The sequence below is a fragment of the Homo sapiens genome, chromosome 10, assembly GCF_000001405.40.
Source record: "Homo sapiens chromosome 10, GRCh38.p14 Primary Assembly".
Lineage (NCBI taxonomy): Eukaryota > Metazoa > Chordata > Mammalia > Primates > Hominidae > Homo > Homo sapiens.
This window is the reverse complement of record NC_000010.11, coordinates 96,731,458-96,754,513: the sequence shown is the minus strand read 5'-3', so window position 1 is coordinate 96,754,513 and position 23,056 is coordinate 96,731,458. Positions and strand designations below refer to the sequence as shown.

At 44.8% G+C, this 23,056-nt stretch overlaps 2 pseudogenes across 1 annotated transcript, besides 4 other annotated features; both read right to left on the bottom strand.

The window, feature by feature from the left end:
- Positions 1 to 3,590: 3,590 nt before the first annotated feature.
- Positions 3,591 to 4,248, bottom strand: RPL13AP5 (ribosomal protein L13a pseudogene 5; annotated as a pseudogene). The gene has a single exon (NR_026712.1). The product of NR_026712.1 is annotated as a ribosomal protein L13a pseudogene 5 (transcript).
- Positions 10,375 to 10,424: an enhancer, noted in NCBI's record as "active region_3842". NCBI's record gives its function as "activates an Ori minimal core promoter by ATAC-STARR-seq in GM12878 lymphoblastoid cells {active_cell/tissue: GM12878}" and the evidence as "EXISTENCE:reporter gene assay evidence [ECO:0000049][PMID:35858748]".
- Positions 11,241 to 11,347, bottom strand: RNU6-1274P (RNA, U6 small nuclear 1274, pseudogene; annotated as a pseudogene).
- Positions 13,247 to 13,316: an enhancer, noted in NCBI's record as "active region_3841". NCBI's record gives its function as "activates an Ori minimal core promoter by ATAC-STARR-seq in GM12878 lymphoblastoid cells {active_cell/tissue: GM12878}" and the evidence as "EXISTENCE:reporter gene assay evidence [ECO:0000049][PMID:35858748]".
- Positions 18,787 to 19,583: an enhancer, noted in NCBI's record as "H3K27ac hESC enhancer chr10:98494688-98495484 (GRCh37/hg19 assembly coordinates)". NCBI's record gives its function as "activates a minimal SCP1, AML or CMV promoter by ChIP-STARR-seq in primed H9 embryonic stem cells {active_cell/tissue: H9 hESC(primed)}" and the evidence as "EXISTENCE:reporter gene assay evidence [ECO:0000049][PMID:30033119]".
- Positions 20,531 to 21,236: an enhancer, noted in NCBI's record as "NANOG-H3K27ac hESC enhancer chr10:98493035-98493740 (GRCh37/hg19 assembly coordinates)". NCBI's record gives its function as "activates a minimal SCP1, AML or CMV promoter by ChIP-STARR-seq in primed H9 embryonic stem cells {active_cell/tissue: H9 hESC(primed)}" and the evidence as "EXISTENCE:reporter gene assay evidence [ECO:0000049][PMID:30033119]".

The window sequence follows — 23,056 nt, the reverse complement described above, 5'->3', positions numbered from 1 at the left end:
TACATTTTATTTATTCATTCATCAGTTGATGGCTATTTGGGTTATTTTCACTTTTTGGCTATTAAGAATAATGCTTCTGTGAATATTAATGTATACATTTTTGTGTGAACATAGGTTTCCATTTCCCTTAGCTATACTCCTAAGAGTGGAATTGCTAGACCATGTTGTAAAAATTTTTAAACACAGGATTGCATAAAGTAAGAGTCATCTATACTGCCCCTCAACATCTCCTTCCCTAAGTCAGTCAAGTACTTTAATATTTGGGAGCATATCCTTCTTTGTTCCCAGGATGCACATATGTACCCCTCTTTTTCTGCTTGTTTTCACTATTCCTTCTTTACTTTCTTAAAAAATTACTTTCTCTTTTCCTCCTTCCCTTCTCTGTCTTTCTCTCTTCTTTAATGAAAATGGAAAGGAACCCAGTGGAGGAAAGATCATAGCCCAGGGGCACAGCCTAGCCTGCAGACCATACATTATTTTGGTCTAGTCTCCTGCTGAGAGCTTTGACCCACCGAACAGAGGAGAGAGTGTAACAGGGAGACTGTGGCCCTTGCTCTCCCCTTCACCATCCCCTCTGCACCTCTATAGGTAATCACCACCATGCTGAACAAAATCATTACATGTAGCAGAAGAGACATTCCTGGGCAACGCTTAGTCTTCCTCACCATCCTCCACCCACCCTTGCTAGCATAGGGTTAGAGTTAGGAGTTCAGTTTGCAAAGGAAAGTTGATATTTATAAAGAAAAATAAAACAAGTGCCTGTTTGTATCATTGTCAATCATACCTTTTACATTTATCCAATATTGCTACCATAGTGACCTCTCTTACCAATTCTAATGGTTTTTAGTTGCCTCTCTTGACTTTTCTAATACAATTATATCTCTGACAAACAGCTTCTATTTTTTCCTTCCTGTATTTTACCTCAGTTACTTTGCTTATAGCACTAGAACGTTGTTTCTTTCCCCCTCCCCTCCCTTCTCCTCTCCTCTCCTTTCACAGAGTCTCACTCTTGTCGCCCAGGCTGGAGTGCAGTGGGGCGATCTCAGCTCACTGCAACCTAAACTTCCTAGGTTCCAGTAATTCTCCTGCCTCAGTCTTCCAAGTAGCTGGGATTACAGGCGCACGCCACCACACCTGGCTAATTTTTTGTATTTTTAGTAGAGACAGGGTTTCACTATGCTGACCAGGCTGGTCTCAAACTCCTGACCTCAAGTGATTTGCCTGCCTCAGCCTCCCAAAGTGCTGGGATTGCAGGTGTGAGCTACCGCACCCAGCCTAGAACAGTGGTTCTTAATTCTATCACATTTATAACAAAGAATATGTAACAATACTTTTAATAATCTAAAATGAAATTTGTAGGCAATATAAGCCACTTAATCTCATAATTTCTAAACCATAAGTATTATGCTATAAGGTAATAAGGACTTAAGGAGAACCTAAGGAAAAGAATTCTATAATAAGATAGTATTACTTCAATATGTAAATGTTAGGGACGGAAATATACTAACAGCCATAATGAAGCTGTCAGAGATACTTCTATCTATGTCCATTACCACTGGGAATGTGACAACACACATTTAGACTGATACTAGGCTACTCAAATATCTACCATGGTGCTACAGGTACAAGATTTTTCCAAATGCTCAACAACTTTTGATACAGTTTGGAAAAAGCAAAGTACGATATTCCCTCACACTATGTGCTAGTTTCATTCTTGGAATTTTTTCAGTGTATTATTAAATCCTTGCAAAGGACTTAATCCTTGAATTCATATGTAAAATATCAACTCCCTGATCATTATGATAACTAAATATGCTCCCACATTCTTCCAATACATTTCCTAGAAGGTATATATGTATACATCTCTAAGGGTGTATGTACCTCCCCTGTAGAGACCCAGTGGTGATTCCAGAATGATACTGCAGTACAATGCTGAGTCATAGATGTTAGCAGGCACTTGTCATTAAAACGCGTGTTTCACCATTCCCTATGATATTTGGTCTTGGTTTCTTTTTCTTTAATTAAAAAAAAATTTTAACATTTTCTTGGATACCAACACTCTTGGTTTCTGATGGATAATCTTTATCGCGTTAAAGAAGTTTTCCCTTTCTTTCTTTCTCTTTCTTTCTTTCTCTTTCTTTCTTTCTCCTTCCTCCCTCCCTCCCTCCCTTCCTTCCTTCCTTCCTTTCCTTCTCTCTTTCTCTCTTCCTTTCTTTCTTTTTTCTTTTTTGACAGAGTCTCACTCAATCACCCAGGCTGGAGTGCAGTGGCACAATCTCAGCTCACTACAACCTTCTGTTGCCTGGGTTCAAGCAATTCTCATGCCTCAGCCTCCCGAGTAGCTGGGACTACAGGCGTGCGCCACCATGCTCGGCTAATTTTTTTGTATTTTTAGTAGAGATAGGGTTTTGCCACGTTGGCCAAGCTGGTCTTGAACTCCTGACCTCAGGTTATCCACCTACCTCGGCCTCCCAAAGTGCTGGGATTACAGGCATGAGCCACTGTGCCTGGCCAGAAGCTATTATTAGTTTCTCTTCATTGTTTTTGTTTCTAGAACATGAGTTTTAACTTTTATTAAACACCTTATTAGCACCTATTGAGGTGATCTTAGGGTCATACTCCTTTATTAACAGAATGATTTATGGCCGGGCGCGGTGGCTCACGCCTGTAATCCCAGCACTTTGGGAGGCCGAGGCGGGCGGATCACGAGGTCAGGAGATCGAGACCACGGTGAAACCCCGTCTCTACTAAAAATACAAAAAATTAGCCGGGCGCAGTGGCGGGCGCCTGTAGTCCCAGCTACTCGGGAGGCTGAGGCAGGAGAATGGCGTGAACCCAGAAGGCGGAGCTTGCAGTGAGCGGAGATCGCGCCACAGCACTCCCGCCTGGGCGACAGAACGAGACTCCGTCTCAAAAAAAAAAACAAAAAAAAACAAAAAACAGAATGATTTATATTAATAGTGTTTCTAATATTTATTGCAAAGTTTTTTTTTGTTATTTGAGATGGAGTCTCGCCCTGTTGCTCAGGCTGGAGTGCAGTGGTAGGATCTCAGCTCACTGCAAACTCCGCCTCCCAGGTTCACACCATTCTCCTGCCTCAGCCTCCCGAATAGGTGGGACTACAGGCGTCCACCACCACGCCTGGCTAATTTTTTGTATTTTTAGTAGAGACGGGGTTTCACCATGTTGGCCAGGATGGTCTCGATCTCCTGAACTCGTGATCCGCCTGCCTCGGACTCCCAAAGTGCTGGGGTTACTAGGTGTGAGCCACCGCCCCTGGCCTATTGCACAGTTTTAATGTAAATTATAGCAAATTAAAATAGCTAGAAAATCAAAACCACCTGATTTTGTTTACTTTCCACATTTTTCTTAATATTCTTGCTTATGTATTCTATTTTTAATCATTTTTGAGGAATATTTTGCATAAAATGCAATTCATTCACTTAAAGTATACACTTTGACTAATTGTCACAAATTTGTATTACATGTAATAACCACTATAGCCAAGACATAGAATGTTTCCATTAGTCTCTAGTTCCCTCGTGCTCTTTTTTTTCCTTTTTCTTTTTTTTTTTTTTTTTTTTTTTTTTAGGAATTAACAGTCTTTATTGGGCTCAGACCAGGAGTCCGTGGGTCTTGAGGACCTCTGTGTATTTGTCAATTTTCTTCTCCACGTTCTTCTCGGCCTGTTTCCGTAGCCTCATGAGCTGTTTCTTCTTCCGGTAGTGGATCTTGGCTTTCTCTTTCCTCTTCTCCTCCAGGGTGGCTGTCACTGCCTGGTACTTCCAGCCAACCTCGTGAGCCAGGCGCCCCAGATAGGCAAACTTTCTTGTAGGCTTCAGACGCACGACCTTGAGGGCAGCAGGAACCACCATCCGCTTTTTCTTGTCGTAGGGCGGTGGGATGCCGTCAAACACCTTGAGACGGTCCAGAGCGGCCTGGCCTCGCTTGGTCTTGTGGGGCAGCATACCTCGCACGGTCCGCCAGAAGATGCGGCTGGGGGCCCGGAAGTGGTAGGGGACTCGGGAAGGGTTGGTGTTCATCCGCTTGCGGAGGAAAGCCAGGTACTTCAACTTGTTTCTGTAGAAATTGCCAGAAATGTTGATGCCTTCACAGCGTACAACCACCACCTTCCGGCCCAGCAGTACCTGTTTAGCCACGATGGCCGCCAGGCGGCCCAGGAGATGGCCTCGACCATCAAGCACCAGGACCTGCACCTCCGCCATCTTCGGCAGCCGCTTGGGAAAGCTCTTTTTTTTTTTTTAATAGAGAGAGTGTTTCACCATGTTGCCCAGGCTGGTCTTGAACCCTGAGCTCAAACAATCCTCCCGCCTCAGCCCCTCAAAGTGCTGGGATTACAGGTGTGAGCCACCGTGCCAGGTCTACCTCATACTTTTTTTTTTTTTTTGAGATGGAGTGTCATCCTGTCACCCAGGCCGTAGTGCAATGGTGCAATCTTGGCTCACTGCAACCTCCGCCTCCCTGGTTCAAGAGATTCTCCTGCCTCGGCCTCCCAAATAGCTGGGATTATAGGTGCCTGCAACCACGTCCGGCTACTTTTTGTATTTTTAGTAGAGACCAGGTCCATGTTGGCCAGGCAGGTCTCGAACTCCTGACCTCAAGCTATTCGCCCGCCTCGGCCTCCCAAAGTGCTGGGATTATAGGGATGAGCTGCTGCACCTGGCCTCATCCATGTTTTGTGTACATCAATAGTGCATCCTTTTTATTACTGATTAGTTAGTATTCCATTGTAAGAATGTTTTTATTTTTAATTTTTATTTTATTTATTTATTTATTGAGACAGAGGCTCACTCTATTACATAGGTGGAGTGCAGTGACACAATCTTGGCTTACTGCAGCTTCTGCCTCCCAGGTTCAAGCAATTCTCATGCCTCAGCCTCCCGAGTAGCTGGGATTACAGGTGCACACCACCAAGCCTGCTAATTTTCAGTAGAGACGGGGTTTTGCCATGTTGGCCAGGCTGGTCTTGAACTCCTGATCTCAAGTGATCCGCCCGCCTTGGCCTCCCAAAGTGTTGGGATTACAGGCGTGAGCCACTGCACCCAGCCTGTTGTAAGAATATATCAGTTTTTTAATCTGATGAACATTTGGGTTGTTTCCAGCCTGAGCTATTATGAATAAGGCTGCTGTGAACATTCATGTATAAGTCATTGTGTGAATACAGGTTTTCATTTATCTAGGAGTGGACTGGCTGGCTCGTGTGTTGTTTATTTAACTTTATAAGAAACTTACCAAACTAATTTTCAAAATGGTTGTACCATTTTGCATCTCTACCTGTAGTGTGGATTAAGGCCTAACTTCTGCTTTCACAAAGGTCATCATCCCCAGAATAGAGCCCGGTCCACCTCTCCCAATCTTTTCTTTCTTTGTTTTCTTCTCTTTGCCTTTCTTTTTTTCTTTCTTTTCTTTTTTTTTTTTTTTTTCTGAGATAGCATCTTGCTCTGTCACCCAGGCTGCAGTGCAGTGGTATGATCAGAGTTCACTGCAGCCTGAACCTCCCAGGTGCAAGTCATCTTCCTGCCTCCACCTCTCAAGTAGCTGGGACCACAGGTGAATGCCACCATGCCCAGCTTATATTTATTTATTTATTTGAGACAGAGTCTCTCTCTGTCACCTAGGCTGGAGTGCAGTGGTATGATCTCAGCTCACTGCAACCTCTGCCTCCCGGGTTCAAGTGATTGTCATGCCTCTGCCTTCTAAGTAGCTGAGATTACAAGTGTGCGCCACCACGCCCAGCTAATTTTTGTATTTTTAGTAGAGACGGGTTTTCATCATATTGGTCAGTCTGGTCTTGAACTCCTGACCTCAAATGATCTGCCCGCATTGGCCTCCCAAAGTGCGGGAATTACAGGTGGGAGCCACTGCGCCTGGCTCCAGCTAATTTATTTTTATTTTCTGTAAAGACAGAGTCTTGCTATGTTTTCCAGGCGAATCTTTGCTTTTCTATGAATGAGTGGGTGCCTAAGTTTGAGAGAAGGAAGTGGGGGTGAGGGGTGGGGTTGTCCATAGAGTATGCTGAGTTTTACGGCAGCCCCGTCTGTGGGCATTTCCTGGGCAGGGCAGTGGCATCTGACCCTTTCAGACCATGGGGCAACAGCTCCAAATTCTCACCTTGGTGGTTGATTCATCAAGTACTGAACAAAGGAAAATACTAAAAGATTATTGAAAGGGGAAGTGGCTAGAATGGGCCCATTGTCACGTGTGTGAATGACTCTTTGTGCTTGTCTTTTACCAGATGGGAATCCTTATCTGCTTTCTGTTTTCGATATTTGTCAGAGAAATGTGTCTAGGGCTTCATCCTTTCCCTTCCCATAACCTTTTACCTCAGGTTGCAGCCAAAGAGGAAGCAGAAGTTCTGCTGTCAAAAGGGGAAGAAGAAAAGGTAATGGTGACTCTCCCCAGACAATAAAAACTCACATAAAACTGGTTTAAAAGTAACACAGCCTAGTGAAGCCAGACTCACCGACAGAGCCTGGGTCTTCAGCAGTTAGACAAGTTGGCCAGGAGCACACCAGGGCAGTTGGGAGCAGGGAGAGCAGACAGCCCTTTACTGCCATCCCCTTCAAAGATGCCCAAGGACATGCCCAGCCCAGGCTGGTCCACTGACAGCAGTGGGGATGGAAAGGCCCATGGCTTTCTGAGGGTTCATTTACCTCCCAGGCTGTCTGAGCATCTGGACTTTTCCCTCTGTCCTTCCTTCCACAGGCAGCGCTTCCAGGAGCACTCCCTGGTAAGCATGCATCGCACACACATAATTGCTTTTTTTTGTTTGAGAGAGGGTCTCACTTGGTTGCCTGCGCTGGAGTGCAGTGGTGTGATCACGGCTCACTGCAGCCTCGACCTCCTGGGCTCAAGCAATCCTTCCACCTCAGCCTCCCGAATAGCTAGGACTACAGGTATGTACCACCATACCCAGCTAATTTTTCTATTTTTTTTTTTTAAAGATGGAATTTCGCTCTTGTTGCCCAGGCTGGAGTGCAGTGGTCCAATCTCCGCTCACTGCAACCTCTGCCTCCCAGGTTCAACCAATTCTGCCTCAGCCTCCTGAGTAGCTGGGATTACAGGCATCCACCACCACATCCAGCTAATTTTTGTATTTTTGTATTTTTTTAAGTAGAGATGGGGTTTCATCATGTTGGCCAGGCTGGTCTCGAACTTCTGACCTCAGGTGATCCACCTGCCTTGGCCTCCCAAAGTGCAGGGATTACAGGTGTGAGCCACTGCACCAGGCCAATTTTTGTATTTTTTGTGGAGATGGGGTTTTGCCATGTTGCCCAGGCTGGTCTCGAACTTCTGGGCTTAAGTGATCTGCCCGCCTTGGCCTCCCAAAGTGCTGGGATTACAGGTGTGAGCCACCATGTCCAGCCGTGCACACTTAATTCCTTCTCAGAGTTTGCTTCCTGGGGAGCACAACTGGGACAATTACTTAGGGAAAAAAGTAAGCAGTGAACTTCTATGATCCTATTTGTGTGACGAATATATATATACTTCCAAATGCGTAGAAAATTTGTGGAACCACACAAAAGGTGCTGTTAACAATAGCCACCTTCAAGGATGAGGTCTGGGATCTTTTGGGATGGGGAAGGTGTGGCTTTATACTCTTTACCATAAACATGAATTACTTTTTCTTTTATCATTAAAAAAGCCTTTTACTTCTGAAGAGGCATGCAGTCGAAATATGAATAGTTGTCATAGCTGCTGTTTGTGAAACACGTTCTACATACCATCTATTTCAGCACGCATTCCCTAGTCCTCACAGTGATGCAAAGAGGTGGATGCCTGATTACACCATTTTGCAGATAAGGACACTGAGTGTCAGAGATGCCAAGTGACTGGTCCAGGAGCATTGGTTACCAGGCAGAGGAACTGGAATAGACTTGGGCTGTCACTCCAAAGTTCAGGTTCTTTCTGAGCTTAATCAGGATGTGTGTCTTTCTGTCAGCCCAAATGATACCTTATGTTCTAAGCCAAGAATATGGTATGGGGGAAAGAGCAAATTACTGGGAGTTGAGCAAGCTTCTGTTCCTGTTGCCATCATTAGCTAAGTGACCTCTGTGCCATTTATTTATTTATTTATTAGAGACTGGGTCCCACTATGTTGCCCAGGTTAATCTCAAACTCCTGAGCTCAAGAGATCCTCCTGCCTTGGCCTCCTGAAGTGCTGGGATTACAGGCCTGAGCCACCATGCCTGGCTTCTCTGTACCATTTATTGTCTCTGTGCTGCACTCACCTCATCTGGAAAATTCCCAAAGGCAGTTTGGTGTAGAGACAGAACCAAAAAGCTCTGGGGTTGACATAGCTGTATCCCTCTATTTACTGTGTGATTTTTAGTAAGTTACTTAACCTCTCTGAGCCTCAGTTTTCCATTCTCTGAAGAAGAGAAAATGGGTTGTAAGACTCAGGGTTGTTATGAGGGTTAAATAAGATAGTGTAACAGCATTTATTGTATTCTAAGCACTCAAAAAAAGAACTCTCTCCTCCTTGAAATATAAACTTTGATTTTGGGGGTAAAGAAAAACTGCCCATAGTTTTAGTATAAGTAACAACACCCAATTTGATGAAGAAAATATGTTTAATGTATGTGAAAGGACTGGTTTGGGATTCTTTTATGGTTCAGCAGAAGAAAGAAACCATTTTTCTCATACCCATAGTCTAACTCCACACAGATCCACTGACAGATCTCCTAGGGGGATAGGCTGTCCTGGATGGGAAGTGAGAGAGCGAGAGGTCCCACCTGGAGAGTGTGAAGGGGAAAAAACGAATCCCTAGACTTGGGAAGAGTGATATTATTGTGGGTTGAATGGTGGCTCCCAAAAACGTGGCCCACATCTTAACCCCTGGAACCCGTGAATGTGACGTTATTTGGAAAAAGGGTCTTTGCAGATATAATCCCAAGGTGAGATCATCCTGGATTATCTGTTGGGTTTTTTTTTTGTTTTGTTTTGAGATTGAGTCTTGCTCTTGTCACCCAGGCTGGAGTGCAGTGGCACGACCTCAGCTTACTGCAGCCTCCGCCTCCAGGTTCAAGTGATTCTCTTGCCTCAGCCTCCGGAGTAGCTGGGATTACAGGTGTGTGCCACCACACTTGGCTAATTTTTGTATTTTTTTTTTTTTTTAATTTTAGTAGAGACAGGGTTTCACCATGTTGACCAGGCTGGTCTCGAACTCCTGATCTCAGGTGATCTGCCTGCCTTGGCCTCCCAAAGTGCTGGGATTACAGGCATGAACCACCACGCCCAGGCCATCCTGGATTATCTGGATGGACCCTAAATCCAATGACAAGTGTTCTTATAAGAGACATAGAAGAGAGACCTGGGGAAAAGAGGTGATATGAGGAGGGAGGCAGAGATCTGAGTTATGCAGCCACAAGCCAAGGAACTCCTGGAGCCACCAGAAGCTGGAAGGAGCAATGAAGGATTGTCCTCCATGTCTTCAGAGGGAGTGCCGTCCTGCTGACACCTTGATTCCAGACTTTTGGCCTCCTGAATTGTGAAAGAATAAACATCTGGTTCAGGCCTGGTGGCTCATGTCTATAATCCCAGCACTTTGGGAGGCTGAGGTGGGCAGATTGCTTGAGCCTAGGAGTTTCAGACCAGCCTGGGCAACATGGCGAAACCCTATTTCTACAAAAAAAATCCCCCCAAAATTAGCCGGATATGGTGACATGCGCTTGTAGTCCCAGCTACTTGGGAGGCTCAGGTGGGAGGATCACTTTGAGTCTGGGGGGCAGAGGTTACAGTAAGCCAAGACTGCACCACTGCATTCCAGCTTGGGTGACAGAGTGAAGCCTTATCTGAAAATTTAAAAAAAAAATTGTGTAGTTTTAAGCCATGAAATTTGTGGTAATGTGTCACAGCAGCCACGGGGAACTAATACAAGTGGCATGGGACAATTTTAGTGGCAACTCTGGGAAAAGAACCAAGATTAAAAGACATCAAGAGAGGACCCATTCAACTAAATATGTAGCATCAGACAATAGGGATGCAGACCTCACACCGACGACATACTAACCTTCTGAAACCAAGTCACACAGAGAGGGAAGTAGGTCAGTAGAACCGACAGGACATCAGGGTAGGAAACCAAAGAGGCCGTGTTGCCTGAAGTGAGGGATGCCGGCCATCTCAGATCCTGCCCCAGCAATGGCAAAATGGATCTCTCAGATGCTGGGAGATTAGACAGAGATATACAAAGAACGAGCACATTTCTGTTAGAATAGGAAAAAATAAAAAATAAAAGGGAAATGGTCAAGAGGTAGGAAGATATAGCTTCCTCTCAAGGAGCCAATAGCCACTGGGGTGTGCTGTTTTCTCATGATCAAAGGTTTGAGAGGGATGACTCACAAGCCTCTACTGAAGGGTCTCACAGAGAAATGCACCAAAAAGAAAGGGTATGGAAGCAACCTAAGTGTCCAGTACCAGAGGACAGGTGAAATGATAGCACAGCCGCACAACAGGGCATGATGCAGCCACAGTGCTGTGGATGAATGTTCACTCAATTGAAATATGTTCAAGACATATTAAGTGCAGAAAGCAAGCGTGAAACAGTAGGTACAATGTAATCCTGTTCCTCATATGTAAAATGCAGATGAAGGTAATAGTAGTTACCCTATAGAATTGTTACAAGCATTTGATTAATATATGCAAAGTGCTTGGCAGTACCTAGAACATGTAGATGCTGTACAGCATCACTGTTTTATCATCACTTATTTTTTTTTAATTCTTAACATTTTTATTTTATTTATTTATGTTTAGACAGAGTCTTGCTCTGTCACCCAGGCTGGAATGCAGTGGTGCAATCTCGGTTCACTGCAACCTCCACCTCCCAGGTTCAAGTGATTCTCGAGCCTCAGCCTCCCAAGTAGCTGGGACTATAGGTGCATGACCCCATGCCCAGCTAATTTTTGTATCTTATTTTATTTTTGAGATGAAGTTTCACTCTTGTTGCCCAGGCTGGAGTGCGATGGTGTGATCTTGGCTCACTGCAACCTCCACCTCCCGGGTTCAAGAGATTCTCCTGCCTCAGCCTCTCGAGTAGCTGGGATTACAGGGGCCCGCCACCACGCCCAGCTAATTTTTGTATTTTTAGTAGAGACAGGGTTTCACCATGTTGATCAGGTGGGTCTCAAACTCCTGACCTCAAGTGATCGGCCCGCCTCGGCCTCCCAAAGTGCTGGGATTACAGGCATGAGCCACCGTGCCCGGCCTAAAACAATTTTTTTTTTAATATGGAATGCTTCGTGAATTTGCATGTCATCCTTGCACAGGGGCCATGCCAATCTTCTCTGTATTGTCCCAATTTTAGTATATGGGCTGCCGCAGTGAGCACTATCATCGCTTCTTTTAAGTATTCAGGTCCACTGTTCTGACCCTTGGGGGTCAATGTATTTTGTGATTCAAACTTTTTCAGATTTTACAAAGGTGTATAATTATGGAACATCCTTAGTGTGCTTGAAGTAGCAACTCACGACAGCCAAATTCATTAATATTTCTGCAGTGAAACATACGAGTATTCACATTAAGTGAGATAACTGAAGAATATAAATAGCACCACATCAGTTTGGATCAGGTGGTGCAGCCAAATAAATTCACTACAAACTTGGAAAACAAACACAAAAACAAAACAACCTTGTGGTTCCAGGGATTTTTGCCTGGGGGAATTACAGATGAGAGACTGTCGACCTGTTTATATAGAAGCATCAGGAAAGCCTGAATGCATTGTCTTGTTACGGTGCTGCTGCTCACTGAGGAGACTGCGGCTTATTTTTATTTTTATTTTTGCCTTTTGACTTTGCTGTTTTAATTTTTCTGCACTGAGTATTAAATACTTTTTTGCCTATAGTTTCTTGAATTTCAATCGATTCAGATAAATGTAACACAAATTTAACCCAAGGAGAATATTGCGTTGCTCAGTGGACCTCAAAAAGATCATAGCCAGCATTGGGTTCACAATTTTCATTTGCACCTTTAAGAAAGTATATTTTTCTGGGGAGGCAGGGAACACTAAAGGAGATGGAGCGGGTTTTTCTATTCTTTTTCTTCTGTCTTTAAGTTGGTCCCACCAACACAGTCCATATCCAGAACTAGTTAATTCCTCATCTAGGGCTTGCTTTACCTCCCCTCCCCTCCCCTCCCTTTCCTCTCTCTCTCTCTCTCCCCCTCCCCTCCCCTTTCTTTTTTGAGATGGAGTCTTGCTCTGTCGCCCAGGCTAGAGTGCAGTGGCGTGATCTCGGCTCACTGCAACCTCTGCCTTCTGGGTTCAAGCAATTCGCCCACCTCAGCCTCTGGAGTAGCTGGGACTACAGGTGCGCGCCACCATGCCCAGATACTTTTTGTATTTTTAGTAGAGACAGGGTTTCATCATATTGTCCAGGCTGGCCTTGAACTCCTGACCTTGTGATCTGCCCGCCTCAGCCTCCCAAAGTGCTGGTATTACAGGCATGAGCCACCGTGCCCAGTCCCTCCTCTTTCATGATAAATATATATTAGTTTTACATTAAAAAGTAAAACAAGGCCAGACATGGTGCATTCTGCCTGTAATCCCAGCATTTTGAGAGGCTGAGGTGGGAGGATTGCTTGAGGCCAGGAGTTCAAGACCAGCCTGGGCAATATAGCCAGACCCGGTCTCTACCAAAAATGAACTGAGTTAGCTTGGCATGTTGGTATGTGTCTGTAGTCCCGGCTACTCGGGAGGCTGAGGCAGGAAGATGGCTTGAGCCCAAGATTTTGAGGTGGCAGTGAGCTGTGATTGCATCACTGTACTACAGCCTGGGCGAGAGAGCAATACCTTATTTCTCTAAAGAAAAAAAATAAGGGAATCAGGCGTTGTAGCTCACGCCTGTAATCCCAACACTTTGAGAGGCTGAGGTGGGTGGATCACCTGAGGTCAGGAGTTTGAGACCAGCCTGGCCAACATGATGAAATTCTGTCTCTACTAAAAATACAAAAATTAGCTGGGTGTCGTCGTGGGCGCCTGTAGTCTCAGCTACTCAAGAGGCTGAGGCAGGAGAATTGCTTGAACCCAGGTGGCAGAGGTTGCAGTGAGCTGAGATCGCACCACTGCGCTCCAGCCTGGGTGACAGAGCGAGACTCTGTCTCAAAAATAAATAAATAAAATTAAAATTAAAAAAAAGGTAAATCAGTAACCACAATAAACTGAAAAATAAATAGAATGTGGGGACAAGTGAGAGAAGTGTGTGTGGACAGGGGAAATGGGGGAAGAAGGACCCTGCAGGGACACGGAGGGGGTTTAGGGGAGGTTTTTAGGGAGTGAGCTGCCTCATGAGTCAGGAAGGAGATGTTGCTGGGCAGAGCTGCAGTCAGTGAGGCAGGGAGAGGTGGCTGTTCTGGGCGACTTTGCAGCTCAGGGCAGGCGCAGGGCCCAGAAGGGGAACGGGAAGTGTCGAAACATCCGTGGGACGCCCTGCTGAGTTCTCCAACCCTGAAACCCGGGACCCTTTCCTGTACAGCTTCTTGGGAGCTTGAACAATTTGAGGGAGGTGACATATCCAGGAGGAAATTTCAATGCACATGTGTGAGGTCTTCTAGTCAACTGTCTATGTGGTTGAGGATTCCTTAGAATGATGAAAAACAAGCACTAATAGAAGGACCTGTGGCTATATCTACATCATCTATGTCTATGTATATATTTATTTTAAATCATGAGCCTTGCCAGACTCGGATTGGCTGATGGTTGAGGGACTTCTGCCAGAGGGCTGGCCAACCTGGGAAAGGGAAGTGTGCCTAAGCTAATGGAGGTTACAGAAGAAGGGGTGGGAAAGGCTTGCAGAAATTCTAAATAGAAAAGGAGCTTTGGATTAGGCAAGTCATATGTGGACTTTAAGGACATTGGAAGGTAGAAAATGCCAGATGAGGAAGACATCATGTACACACAAAATCTATAGCCCCAAGCCCTGATCCCTGTTGTCAGGACCCAAGACCAATTGCTAGTGAAGGGACACAGAGGCGAGAGAGTCCCAGAGGAAGGAGACCCTCCAGGGAAGGGTTCAGGAGGCAACAGCTCCCTCACAGTTCACAGAGGAGCCCTCATCCCCCAGCAAAGTCCATGAGCTGCCCAGGAGAGAAAGCTGATTTCTTTCCCACTTACCATGCGTAGGAGGACCCCCATGAGAATCTGGGCCTACCCATATGGCCAGCTCTTGGAGGCCTAGGACGGCCCAAGGGGCAAGGCTCAACAGAAGGTCAGGGCTGCCTCGGTGGAAGGGCTGCTGAGTGTGTGTGACGGACCTATGACGTGTGACCTGGCAGTGACTCTTAAACTAGGCTTTGCGGTACCCTGGACCAAGGCAGTCTACAGCTAAAACAGGAGTCTTTTCTGCATTTGTAGATAGAATTATCTTAATTTTAAAAATATTATTTTGGCTGGGTGTGGTGGCTCACGCCTGTAATCCCAACACTTTGGGAGGCCGAGGCAGGCAGATCACCTGAGGTCAGGAGTTCAAGACCAGCCTGGCCAACATGGCGAAACCCCATCTCTACTAAAAGTACAAAAATTAGCCGGGTGTGGTGGCACATGCCTGTAATACCAGCTACTGGGGAGGCTGAGGCAGGAGAATCGCTTGAACCCGGGAGGCGGAGGCTGCAGTGAGCCAAGATCGCGCCATTGCACTCCAGCCTGGGCAACAAGAGTGAGACTCCGTCTCAAAAACATAATTTCTTTCTTTCTTTCTCTCTTTCTTTCTTCCTTCCTTCCTCCCTCCCTCCTTCCCTTCCCTTCCTTTCCCTTCCCTCCCCTCCCCTCTCTCTCTCTCTTTCTTTCCCTCCCTCCCTCCCTCTCTCTCTTTCTTTCTAGATGGAGTCTCTCTCTGTTGCCCAGGCTGGAGTGCAGTGGTGCAATCTCGGCTCACTGTAGTAGTCCCCATCTTGGTGTAGAGTAAGTAGTTCCTGCGACTTGGGAGGCTGAGACAGGAAGATTGCTTGAACCAGGGAGTTTGAGACTGTGGTGAGTTGAGATGGCACTATTGTACTACAGCCTGGGTGACAAAGTGATACCCTGAAAAGAAAGAGAGAGAGAAAGAGAAGGAAGGAAGGAAGGAGGAAAATAGAAGAGGAGTCATCACTACTGATTTCATGGACATTAAAAGGATAATAAAGCAGCTGGGCCTGGTGGCTCACACCTGATCCCAGCACTTTGGGAGGCTGAGGCAGGTGGATCACTTGAGGCCAGTAGTTCGAGACCAGTCTGGTCAACATAGTGAAACCCCCTCTCTACTACAAATACAAAAATGTAGCTAGGCGTGGCGATGCGTGCCTGTAATCCCAGCTACTTGGGAGGCTGAGGCACGAAAATTGTTTGAACCCAGGAGGCAGAGGTTGCAGTGAGCTGAGATCACTCCAGCCTGAGCAACGAAGTGAGACTTCGTCTCAAAAAAAAAAAATATTATGAACAAACTCTATGCCTACAAATTTGAAAACTTAGATGAAATTAACCAATTCCATGAAAGATACAAACTATTTTACTATCTTATATGGGCACAGTTCTGGGTGCCCTAAAACAATTGCAATAGTAACATCTAATATCACTGATCATAGATCACCATAACAGATATAACCATAAAATAAAGTTTGAAAGATTGCAATAATTATGAAACTGTGACACAGAGACACTAGTGATCACATGCTGTTGGAAAAACGTACCAATAGATTTGCTCAGTGCATGGTTGTCACAAACCTTCCATTTGTAAAAAAACACAAAATCTGAGAAGTACAATAAAGTGAAGTGCAATAACACAGGGTATGCCTGTAACTCAAAATGGATTATAGATCTAAATGTAAAGCACACACCTATCAAAATTTGAGAAGCTCACATCAGAGAAAAGCTTGGTTACTTGGGTTTGGCTGTTACTTTTTAGATATAACACCAAAGCACAACGCATGAAACAAGAAAATTGACAAGTTGGGCTTCATTAAAACAAAAAACTACTGCTCTGTGAAAGTTTGACACTGTTCAGACTGTAAAGAGAAGCCATAGATTGGGAGAAAATTTCTGCAAGACATGCACCTGAGAAATAAAGAACTTGCATCCAAAATATACAAGGAACTCTTAAAATTCAACAGTAAAAAAACCCCAAACAGTCCGATTATAAAATGGACAAAATACCTAAATAGGCACTTCACAAAAGAAGATATACAGATGGCAAATAAGTATATGAAAAGATACTCAACACCATATGTCATTAGGGGACTGCAAATTGCTGTATAATTCAGCAATTGTGCTTCTAGGTATTTACCCAATTGAAATTATGTCCACATAAAAGTCTGCCCACAGGCCAGGTGCTGTGGTTTAGGCCTGTGATCCCAGCACTTTGGGAGGGCCAAGCAGGAGGATTGTTTGAGCCCAACGTAGCAAGCCTCTATCTCTACAAAAAGTTTAAAAATTAATAGTCCTAGCTACTCAAGAGGTAGGAGGATTGCTTGAGCCCAGGAGTTCAAGGTTTTGAGGTTGCAGTGAGCTATGATCCTACCACTGCACTCCAGCCTGGGCAACAGAGTGAGATCCTGCCTCAAAAAAAACCCTGAAAAACAAAAACTAACAACAACCCTCCACGCAAATGTTCGTAAGTACCTTTAATCACAATTGCCAAAGGCTGGAAACAATCAAGCTGTCCTTCAATAGGTGGATAAACCAACTATAGTATATCCATACAATGGAATATTACTAAATGATAAATGAAGTGAGCTCTTAAGCCATGAAAAGACATGGAGGAAACTTAAATGCATATTGCTAAGTGAAAGAAGCCAGTCTGAAAAGGCTGCATACTGTATGACATTTGGGAAAAGGCAAACTTTATTAGTCTGTTCTCACACTGCTATAAAGAACTACCTAAGACTGGGTAATTTATAAAGAAAATAGGTTTAATTGACTCACAGTTCCACATGTCTGAGGAGGCCTAAGGAAACCAAGCACCTTCTTCATAAGACTGCAGGAGAGAGAGAGTGCGCAGGAGAAACTGCCACTTCTAAAACCATCAGACCTTGTGAGAACTTCCTCATTATCATGAGAACAGTATGGGGGAAACCACCCCCATGATCCAATCACCTCCCACCAGGTTCCTCCCTCTACACATGGGGATTACAATTTGAGATGAGATTTGAATGGGGATAGAGAGCCAAACCATATCACAAACTGTAGAGACAATAAAATGATTAATGGTTGCCAGGAGTTCAGGAGTGTTCAGGAAGGGATGAATAAATGAAGCACAGTGAACTTTTAGTGTGGCAAAATGATTGTTTGATACTGTAATGGTGGGCACATGACATTATACATATATCAAAACCCATGGAAGTATACAATACAGGGTAAATCTTAATGTAAACTATGGACCTTAGTTAATAGTAATGTACCAATATTGATTCATTAATTGTAATAAACGTACTACACTAATGCAAGATGTTAAAAATAGGGAAAACTGTGGTGGGAGGGGTTATATGAGAAGCGGGCAGGATATATGGAAACTCTGTACTATCTGTTCTATTTTTCCTTAATTCTAAAACATCTATTAATTAAAAAACATAAATGTCTGAGAATAACCAATTAACAAAAAAAGAATGGGGATGGGGAGGGTTTACCTAACTAGATGTGGCTGAGACTAACTAGGTGCCTTTTAACATCTAAAGGACTTTGTTTCCTTGCTTCCCTTTCAGATGGGAGTATAAATAAATCTGTTAGGTGAGAGTTTCAAAAAAGCTTTTAAAAAGGAGGCAGAGAGTTGGCCTGTGCCCTTTTGGCCCTTCCCTACTCTGTTTGCTTCCTACCTGGAATAAGGGATTTATGGCTGGAGATTCAGCAGCCATCTTGGAGCATGAGGAGATCATAAGAGTGAAAACCACAGTTAAGAATATAATGGAAGAAGTCTGTTTCATGCACGTCCGTGTGAAGAGACCACCAAATAGGCTCTGTGTGAGCAACATGGCTGTTTATTTCACCTGGGTGCAGGCGGGCTGAGTCCGAAAAGAGAGTCAGCGAAGGGAGATAGGGATGGGGCCGTTTTATAGGATTTGGGAAGGTAATGGAAAATTACAGTCAAAGGGGGTTGTTCTCTGGGGGGCAGGGGCGGGGGTCACAAGATGCTCAGTAGGGGAGCTTCTGAGCCAGGAGAAGGAAATTCACAGGGTTAATCACTCAGTTAAGGTGGGGCAGGAACAAATCACAATGGTGGAGTGTCATCAGTTAAGGCGGGGCAGGGCCTTTTCATTTCTTTTGTGATTCTTCAGTTACTTCAGGCCATCTGGGCGTATACGTGCAAGTCACAGGGGATGCGATGGCTTGGCTTGGGCTCAGAGGCCTGACATTCCTGCCTTCTTATATTAATAAGAAAAATAAAACAAAATAGTGTTGAAGTGTTGGGGCGGCGAAAAATTTTGGGGGGTGGTATGGAGAGAGAATGGGCGATGTTTCTCAGGGCTGTTTCAAGCGGGATTAGGGGCGGTGTGGGAACCTAGAGTGGGAGAGATTAAGCTGAAGGGAGATCTTGTGGTAAGGGGTGATATTGTGGGGATGTAAGAAGAAACATTTGTTGTATAGAATGATTGGTGATGGCCTGGATATGGTTTTGTATGAATTGAAAAACTAAATGGAATAAGAGTAGGAGAAAAACAGGTATAAAAGGACTAAGAATTGGGAGGACCTAGGGCATCTAATTAGAGAGTGCCTAAGGAGATTCAGCATAGTCCTGCCAGCAAAGATTATTTATTTACTTCAAGAGTTTAGAGTGGCAGTTTGGGGATAGCACTGGGAGATATCAGCTGTGATGGCTTGGAGAAACAGTGTAAACCGGCAGTGTAAACAAGAGCAGGGCATGTATGAGTAGTTGAGAACGGTGAATAGGAGTATGACTAACAGATGAGGATGAAATTTGGGCTTGACTGAAGTAATGGGGGCTGTCTGTGAAGCTTTGCAGCAGTACAGACTAGGTAATTTGCTGAGCTTGATGGGCGTCAGGGTCAGTCCAAGTGAAAGTGAAGAGAGGCTGGGATTAAGGGTGCAAAGGAATAGTAAAGAAAGCATATTTGAGATCTGGAACAGAATAATGGGTTATAGAGGCAGGTATTGAGGATAGGAGAGTATATGGGTTTGGCACCACGGGGTGGATAGTCAAAACAATTTGGTTGATAAGGCGCAGATCCTGAACTAACTTGTAAGGCTTGTCTGGTTTTAGGACAGGTAAAATGGGGGAATTGTAAGGAGAGTTTATAGGCTTTAAAAGCCCATGCTGTAGCAGGCGAGTGATAACAGGCTTTAATCCTTTTAAAGCGTGCTGCGGGATGGGATATCGGCGTTGAGTGGGGTAAGGGTGATTAGGTTTTAATGAGATGGTAAGGGGTGCATGATCGGTCGCCAAGGAGGGAGTAGAGGTATCTTATACTTGTGGGTTAAGGTGGGGGGATACAAGAGGAGGACGCAAAGGAGGCTTTGGATTGGGAAGAAGGGCGGCAATGAGATATAGCTGTAGTCCAGGAATAGTCAGGGAAGCAGATAATTTAGTTAAATTGTCTCAGCCTAATAAGGGAACTGGGCAGGTGGGGATAACTAAAAAGGAGTGCTTAAAAGAGTATTGTCTAAGTTGGCACCAGAGTTGGGGAGTTTTAAGAGGTTTAGAAGCCTGGCCGTCAATACCCACAACAGTTATGGAGGCAAGGGAAACAGGCCCTTGAAAAGAAGGTAATATGGAATGGGTAGCCTCCGTATTGATTAAGAAGGGGATGGGCTTACTTCCCACTGTGAGAGTTACCCGAAGCTCGGCGTCCGTGATGGTCTAGGGGGCTTCCGAGGTGATCGGGCAGTGTCAGTCTTCAGCCACTAAGCCGAGAAGATCTGGGAAGGAGTCAGTCAGAGAGCCTTGGGCCAGAGTTCCAGGGGCTCTGGGAGTGGCTGCCAGGTGAGTTGAACAGTCCGATTTTCAGTGGGGTCCCGCACAGATGGGACACGGCTTAGGAGGAATCCTGGGCTGCGGGCATTCCTTGGCTTGGTGGCCAGATTTCCGGCACGTGTAGCAAGCTCCTGGGGGAGGAGGTTCTGGAGGAACGCCTGGCTGCTGCGGTTCAGGCGTTTGGAAGTTCTTGTGTGCTGGAGATGTGGCTGGGGTTTGTCTCACAATGGAGGCAAGGAATTGCAACTTTTTTCTGTTATTGTACACCTTGAAGGTGAGGTTAATTAAGTCCTGTTGTGGGGTTTGAGGGCCAGATTCCAATTTTTGGAGTTTTATTTAATGTCGGGAGCAGATTGGGTAATAAAATGTATATTGAGAATAAGACGGCCTTTTGACCTTTTAGGGTCTAGGTCTGTAAAGTGTCTCAGGATTGCTGCTAAACGAGCCATGAACTGGGCTGGATTTTTATATTTGATGAAAAAGCCTAAATGCTATCTGATTTGGGATAAAGAAAAAGGAGCATTAACCTTGACTATGCCTTTGGCTTTTTAAGAGTAAATTGCTGGGCAGGTGGGGGAGGGCTAGTCATGGAACGAAACTGTAAGCCGGACCAGGTGTGAGGAGGGGAGGTGATAAAAAGATTATAGGGTGGAGGAACGGAGGCTGAGGAAGAATTGGGACCTAGCTCGGCCTGGCGAGGAGCAGCCTGGGGAGGAAGGGAGAGGTCAGATGGGTCTGTAGAAAAGGAAGATTAGAAAGACTCAGCGACGCTTGGGGTTGGTACTGAGGGGACAGGCCAGAGGGAAAGGAAGATTTGGGACGAGTTGCACTGGGCAAGGAGACTAGGAAGGGACTGATGTGTAAAAGAATGCCTGGACGTCAGGCACCTCAGACCGTTTGCCTGTTTTACGACAAGAATTATTTAGATTTTGCAGGATGGAAAAATTCAAAGTGCCATTTTCTGGCTATTTGGAACTACTGTCGAGTTTGTATTGGGGTCAAGCGGCATTGCAGAAGAAAATAAGGCATTTAGGTTTTAGGTCAGGTGTGAGTTGAAGAGGTTTTAAGTTTTTGAGAACACAGGCTAAGGGAGAAGAAGGAGGAATGGAAGGTGGAAGCTTACCGATAGTGAAGGAGGCAAGCCCAGAGAAAAGAGTAGAGACACGGAGAAGGGGTGGGGGGTTCTTGCACCAAATTTCATGCGCATCCGTGTGAAGAGACCACCAAACAGGCTTTGTGTGAGCAACATGGCTGTTTATTTCACCTGGGTGCAGGCGGGCTGAGTCTTATAGGCTGAGTTTTATAGGATTTGGGAAGGTAATGGAAAATGACAGTCAAAGGGGGTTGTTCTCTGGGGGGCAGGGGCGGGGGTCACAAGGTGCTCAGTGGGGGAGTTTCTTAGCCAGGAGAAGGAAATTCACAGGGTTAATCACTCAGTTAAGGTGGGGCAGGAACAAATCACAATGGTGGAATGTCATCAGTTAAGGCGGGGCAGGGCCTTTTCACTTCTTTTGTGATTCTTCAGTTACTTCAGGCCATCTGGGCATATACGTGCAAGTCACAGGGGATGCGATGGCTTGGCTTGGGCTCAGAGGCCTGACAGTCTGGGCTCCTGATAAGCATGGTTCTTCCATGCCAATCCTGGGCATCCTATATCAGACTTATTTTTGTTTGTTTGTTTTGAGACCGAGTCTTACGCTGTTGCCCAGGCTGGAGTGCAGTGGCAAGATCTCAGCTCCCTGAAACCTCCACCTCCTGGGTTCAAGTGATTCTCCTGCCTCAGCCTCCTGAGTAGCTGGGACTGACTATAGGTGTGCACCACCACACCTGGCTAATTTTTTTGTATTTTTAGTAGAGACAGAGTTTCACGTGTTGACCTGGCTGGTCTAGAACTCCTGATCTCAGGGGATCCACCGGCCTGGGCCTCCCAAAGTGCTGGGATTACAAGTGTGAGCCACCACACCCGACCCTGTATCAGACTTCTTTTACATGAAAGAAATAAAATTGCTTCTTGTGTAAACCTCTGTTATTTATATCTGTTGCTAGCAGTCAAACATAATTCAACCTTGTATACTACATCATAAAACTTACTACAATGCTATTATAATAAAAACTATATGTATATATATAGCACAGAAATAAACAATACAAGTAGAATCTAATAAGGAATCCAGAAACAAATTCAAATGGGAGCTTGATATAAATAAAGATGACATTTCATTCAGAGGGGGAAGGATGGTTTACTTAATATATGGTGCTAGCAGAACTGACTATCCATCTGGAAGAAAACAGTTACACTTCTACCCCACTTCATATGCAAAAATAAACTCCAGATGGATTAAAAGCCTAAATGTAAAAAATAAAAATATTAGATACAAATGTAAGAAGTTGTTTATAAAATTGTAAAGTAAAAAAGACCTTCTGAAGTAGAAGATGAAACTCAGAAACCCTAAGAGTCACATCTAACAATAAGTCACGCATCACCTTTGAAAAATTAACATATTTATATAGTGAAAGAAATAATAAGTCAGGAGACAAATGATAGGCTAGGGTAAATACTTAGAATATATATGACAAAGGAGAAAAGTTGCTAACATACCTTAGCTCTTACAAACCAATAAAAAAAAAAAAACAGACAATCAATCCAATTAGAATTTGGCAAGCATGTCCCCAGGCGCTTCCAGAAAAAAAATGCAAATCATAGGCAATATGAAATGATTCTTGGCTGGGTGCGGTGGTTCACGCCTATAATCCCAGCACTTTGGGAGGCCGAGGCGGGAGGATCATGAGGTCAGGAGATCAAGACCATCCTGGCTAACACGGTGAAACCCCGTCTATACTACAAAAAGACAAAAAAATTAGCCAGGCTTGGTGGTGGGCGCCTGTAGTCCTAGCTACTTGGGAGGCTGAGGCAGGAGAATGGCTTGAACCCGGGAGGTGGAGCTTGCAGTGAGCCGAGATTGGGCCACCGCACTCCAACCTAGGTGACAGAGCAAGACTCCGTCTCAAAAGAAAAGAAAAGATTCTTAATCCCACTGGTATTCAAGGAAATGCCAATTAGCATAATAATGAGCATAACTTTTTTTAATCCATCAGATTAGCAAAAAATAAGAAAAGATTAGTGAGAGTATTGATATGGGTGTGGAATG